Source organism: Homo sapiens, chromosome 15 (assembly GCF_000001405.40).
Source record: "Homo sapiens chromosome 15, GRCh38.p14 Primary Assembly".
In the NCBI taxonomy this organism is placed as follows: Eukaryota; Metazoa; Chordata; class Mammalia; order Primates; family Hominidae; genus Homo; species Homo sapiens.
In genome coordinates, this window is record NC_000015.10 from 36,044,715 (window position 1) to 36,050,877 (window position 6,163).

The 6,163-nt window shown below is 40.7% G+C and overlaps 1 long non-coding RNA gene across 1 annotated transcript; it reads left to right on the plus strand.

Moving 5' to 3' along the window:
- Positions 1 to 1,314: 1,314 nt before the first annotated feature.
- Positions 1,315 to 4,815, plus strand: LINC02853 (long intergenic non-protein coding RNA 2853). The gene is made up of 2 exons (NR_184053.1): positions 1,315 to 1,571; positions 4,388 to 4,815. It is a non-coding gene; the product is annotated as a long intergenic non-protein coding RNA 2853 (long non-coding RNA).
- The last annotated feature ends 1,348 nt before the right edge of the window (positions 4,816 to 6,163 follow it).

Sequence of the window (6,163 nt, forward strand, 5' to 3'; positions counted from 1 at the left end):
ACCATTTTACAGTTAAGAAAGAAACAGTAATTTTAACTCACATTAAGGTGAATTTTCTATTTTCCAAAACACTGATGACTTCAAAATATTCTCAAAAATGAAATCAACTTTGACTGAAATCATTTCAATTTTCATTGAATAAATTAACATTTTGATTATCACATTACTTAATTACATTTTAATTTGTGCACTATTAAAATATTAAAATAACTATATAGAGATTATAAACATAACTAAAATGATATATTTTGCAAAATCTTATGTAAATATCTGTATTCTCATTTGAACCTCAAAGTGTTAAACTTATTTACCTCCAGGGAATGTCTAAGAGCTCGAATCTTTCTAAATATATGATTTTCACACATAACACCATCTTGAAAACATCTGGACTTCACAGAAACCACAGGGTAACCAATAATCCTTCAAGACCTAAAACAACCACATTCCTATCAGGGTAAAATAACTTAGAAATTTCTAATTTCTAAGAAAATGTTAGATACTTTTGTATCTACAACTAAAATATAAAAATATGTAGGCTTATTTCTAATATGTCTATCTGATCTTTGTATACTTTTGGGGCAAGGTCAGGCAAACATTCTCTCTGAAGATCCAAAAACTTGTTTTTATGCTGTAGCAGAATCTCAGGGAGCATTTGGTGGGCTGACAAAAGAGACAACATTTTGGTATCATGTAGACAGCTGAATATCAGTGGAAATTTAGAAAGGAGAACTGAATTATTTTTGCCTATGCTTTACAATCAGTATCCTAGTACCTCTCAGTAAAAGTGGGATAAGTTTGAATGTTACTCAGCCAATAAACATATTAATGTAAGACAGAAACAAGGAGGGTGAGGAGCCTGTATGATTATGATTAAAAAATCAACACAAGGAAGGAAACACACCGAGGCCTATCGGGGGCTGGGGGGCGGAAAGGGAGGGAGAGCATTAGGACGAATAATGCCTGCTGGGCTTAAAACCTAGATGACAGGTTGATAGGTATACATGTGCCATGGTGGTTTGCTGCACCTATGTAACAAACCTGCACGTTCAGCACATGTATCCCAGAACTTAGAGTGAAATGTAAAAAAAACTCCACCGATAAAAAAAAAAAAAATCAAGGAATTTTAAAAACATGAAAAGTCAATGTAATTGTCAGAAATAATATTTTAGACCCTAATTTTAGTAAGTTTCACAAAAAGCTTGAAATCAAACGATGTGGGACATTGCTTCTGTAAGCAGCTTCTGAATTTGCTTTGCCTTGGCCTATAGTGACGTCACAAGCTCACATCATAAGGAAAACGTGTTGCGCATCTCTAGTTTGATATGAGCTTTAGTATCTCCCCACTACAGTGCGAGAAAAGTCAGGGCAAAGGATTGAAAAGAAGTTCACAACAAAAAAGTTTGAACACAAGCAAACCTGAAACAGATGCAGGGTAGTAGATCTTAAGGGTGCGTTGCTCACTCCAGGGCCTGCTGCCACCCAGATGGCTGGCAAACACCAGGACTCCGAACACAACAGGATTCAGGGATTCAGACAGGAGTCTTGCTCTACCAATTATTATAGGATCTTAGGTAAGCTACTTTCTTGCTAAAACTTAGTTTCCTTAAATCCAAAGTCAGGGTAAAACACCTGACATAATTACCTTAGGGGATGGTACTGAAACAAAAAGATAAAGATGTAGGAGCACTCCTTGCATTCTGACTTCTTTATAAATATACTTTTTATCTTTATCTTTGTACACGTTTAAAAGAATCACAGCACTAGGGAGATAGGTTTTGCTATGGGAAGGAACATGAATTGGAAGTCAGAAAATGTGGGTTTGAAACCTAATTCAAGTAGTAACTTCTACTATAGGCCCATTGGTGTAATAGCCACTTAGGAGGCAGAGATGGAAAAATCACTGGGGCTTCTTCATTTTTACAACGAAAAATGTGTCTAGGTAATGTCCACTAATATCCAGTCACTCAATGCAAGAGTTTTATAAACTCCTGCCCTGTGGAACTAGAGCTGAGTCATGTGGTTCGCTTTGGACTATAAACATGGGTGGAGGTGATATTGAGAGGTGACAGTGTGCTGGCAGTCCTCAGAGCCCTCGCTTGCTCTCCGCACCTCCTCTGCCTGGGCTCCCACTTTGGCGGCATTTGAGGAGCCCTTCAGCCCACCACTGCACTGTGGGAGCCCCTTTCTGGGCTGGCCAAGGCTGGAGCCCACTCCCTCAGCTTGCAGGGAGGTGTGGAGGGAGAGGCGCGAGCGGGAACTGGGGCTGCGTGCAGTCCCTTGCGGGCCAGCTGGAGTTCCGGGTGGGCGTGGGCTTGGCGGGCCCCGCACTCGGAGCGGCCGGCCGGCCCTGACGGCCCCGGGCAGTGAGGGGCTTAGCACCCGGGCCAGCCGCTGCGGAGGGTGTACTGGGTCCCCCAGCAGTGCCATTCCACCGGTGCTGCGCTCGATTTCTCGCCGGGCCTTAGCTGCCTTCCCGCGGGGCAGGCCTCCGGACTGCAGCCCGCCATGCCTGAGCCTTCCCCCGCCTCCATGGGTTCCTGTGCAGCCTGAGCCTCCCCGACGAATGCCGCCCCCTGCTCCACGGCCCCCAGTCCCATCCACTGCCCAAGAGCTGAGGAGTACGAGCGCATGGCACGGACTGGCAGGCAGCTCCACCTGCAGCCCCGGTGCGGGATCCACTGGGTGAAGCCAGCTGGGCTCCTGAGTCTGGTGGGGACATGGAGAGTCTTTATATCCAGCTCAGGGATTGTAAACGCACCAATCAGCACCCTGTCAAAACAGACCACTTCGCTCTACCAATCAGCAGGATGTGGGTGGGGCCAGACAAGACAATAAAAGCAGGCTGCCCCCAGCCAGCAGTAGCAACCCGCTCGGGTCTCTTTCCAGGCTGTGGAAGCTTTGTTCTTTCGCTCTTTGCAAAAAATCTTGCTACTGCTCACTCTTTGGGTCAACATTGCTTTTATGAGCTGTAACACTCATTGGGAAGATCTGTAGCTTCACTCCTGAAGCCACCAAGACCACGAGCCCAACGGGAAAAACAAACAACTCCAGACGCGTTGCCTTAAGAGCTGTAACACTCACCAGGAAGCTCTGCAGTTTCACTTCTGAGCTAGCGAGACCATGAATCCACCAGAAGGACAAAACAATGAACACATCTCAACAGCAGAGGGGACAAACTCCAGACGTGCCACCTTAAGAGCTGTAACACTCACCGCGACGGTCCGCGGCTTCATTCTTGAAGTCAGTGAGACCAAGAACCCACCAATTCTGGACCCAATATGTGTTCCTTCCATTGAGAAATGTTAAGTTACAATGTGTGGGCTGCCTTACTGTTTTTACTTTTTCAGGCTTCTCATCCTTGGGGGAGAACATATCAATCCCTCAAAAAACAAACAGGAAAACCAAAAAAGTCAGTATACGTGTGGCTTGAACAAAGAATGCATTTTGTTGTTTTATAAGCCCTGAGGTTTTAGGGTATTTTTTTCTGTAGAATAATCAAGTTTATCTTGACCGATACAACAATGAAATTAGTGATTTGATAAAGCTAAACATTCAATTTAAAGGACTACACTTACTCTGAGTTTATATACTTCCTACATTTTAATGTTGTGATAAAGTATCCTATTTTGAAATAATAATTACGCTGTTGGGGATAGTATTCCAAAATGTTGGAATTACACAAATATAAGAGGTTATATGATTACAATGAGAGTGTACCACATGACTAGCGCCTTAGGAGAAAATAATTATCTCTAATAACTGTTAAAATGTGCCTTCAAAAGATTTACCAATCAAGCCTTATTCCCTAGCAATTCCAACTTTGTGTGAAAATACAGGTCAAGTTTTGGGTTTCACATTGGTAACCAAATTGTGATAGCTTTGATCATGAACTTTGAAATACAATAATACATCTCTGAATATCGCATTGTATGATGGAGTAAAGACGAAGTATACTAGGCAGCTGCCCTTAGTACATTAAGGTGTTTTATGGCCATATTGCAATTTACTTTTTTCAAACATCTGCTCAAGCATTTAAAATGGTGTGAACACTGGTCTGTAGTTCCCGTATAATTTAAAGGCTTCTGATCCAACACCGAATAGTCCAGGACTCAAGCCTGTTTGAGTCTTCTAGTCTAAAACCTTTTTCAATGTTTAGAAAAATAAAGTAAATTTCTAGAACTGACATCCAGGACTAGTATGGAATGAGCAGTTTCATTTAATGAGTGGATTGGATTGAAGCTGAGGAACAGAGAGGGAGTGGAGAAAAGGTTAAAAATTCTTAAACTGGGTTCAAGTTGGCATTTGCCAATTCGGAATTATGAAGGCCTCCCTGAAGCCCTGATGTGCCTTTGCACTGCTAATTCCTTCTGTTTTGTTTTTCTTTTAGATGCCTTTCCAGTAAAGCTAACAAAAAACAAAACAAAATAAAACCATATCCAAAATACTAAACAGCTGTCTCCAAGATCAGAAGGCATCAGAAAAGACCCTCAAGAGTTGTCTAATCCCAGAGGAAGATCTTAAGTGGGGATGTGCTCACAGCAGAAACCTTGGAAATTTCAGGGAGTGAAATTTTATTGTCAGAACTTTCAATAAAAGTGTAGCCACAGATCCTGGGAGCATTAAATAAAAATTACCAACAAGCTGTCTTACCTGTGTGCACTCCACTGAAAGGAAGGGCAAACATGAGCAAGGAGCTCTTGTACATCAGTCAAAATTCTGACAGCTACCCTGTGAAGTTTGACGGGCTGCCATGTGCTAGACTACCTAAGATACTCTTAACTGAACCATAAAAAGACAAATAAATTAGTAATTGTATCCCTCCTGTCAATGTCCTTTTTCGTGAACTTCTCAAGGTGTTGGTTAACATTGTCTGGAATGATTTATCAATATATTCTTAGCTTTCTTAGGAAACACAGATAGACTTGATTTTTTCCAAATTGTTTTTTGAATTGATTTAAGAAAATGATACAGATATTGCCAATTGCTGGGCCTCTCTTTTTCACTCCCTGCTCTGCTTCCTCCGATTATTAAATCAAACCAATAAGATTAACATAATCTTTCTTAGAATTGACTGTTCTTTTTAAATAGATCCCATGATAGACATGTGTAAAAATCAATAACAGGCCCCTCATTTGTCAAAGCTAATGACTAAACTCATTTTGAAGTTCAATAGTGGTTACTGGAGAGTGGCCACACATTATATGTCTAATCCTGTATGTCTCGACACTTATTCTGCAGAACAGAGAAAAAGGCTTTGTTGCTTGAGGCACAGTATAAAAGCTGGTGTCTCCATTGTATTTGTACATATTCACATTTCCTCCAAACTATGACAATTGTTGATTGTCCAAGCTAATACATTAAAGGAAATAAAAGGAAAAATAAATCTGGTAAATTTGTAACACTCCCCACCCCACCTTTTAACCAATTCAATTAATTGTAAGTTCCTTCAATTATATGCTTAACTCCTTGAGGTTGTGAAATATGTCTTACATATTTTTAATATCCCCAGACACACTAACATAGCGATTGGGTCACAGATTAGCATGAAATAAAGATTTGGTTGAATTACACAGAATTATATTATCCAATACTTTGGACCATGGCATAGCAGTTATTTTAGACCACACACTTATATCCAGTGTAAAGTGCAAAAGATGCAGCTTTCCTGCAGACTTCTCTTTGATAGATGCTCTGCATCACAGGGTGGTTTAAGTAGTGTTTGCTTCTGAGGTGTTCCTGCTACCTTCCACAAAGCCTTTTCCAGGCACTGCAAAAGTGTGAGACCTAACAGCTTTTGGTATAATACCCTCTTCCTTTTCAAATATCCTCTGATTATAGATATAAGCCAGCAACAGAGCATCTTAAAATCCAGAATAGATATTTGGATGAAATATAGGCATGAGATGTAGCCCTGAACTAATTGAGATTACATTTGAAATTATTAATGAAAACACTATCTTATATCTGCATAATGCTTTATGCTTTACAAAGGTTCTTCATATACCCCATCTCATTTTCTCATTTTCTCCTTTTCTCACCCCAAGTCAGAACACTTAATAAATATTTCTTTCATTTCCCTAAAAATTCCAGATTGTTGTTTACTGTTCTGTCCTCCTCCCTTCATCAGCAAGTTGCCTTTTTCTGGGCTCCAGGTTGTATATTG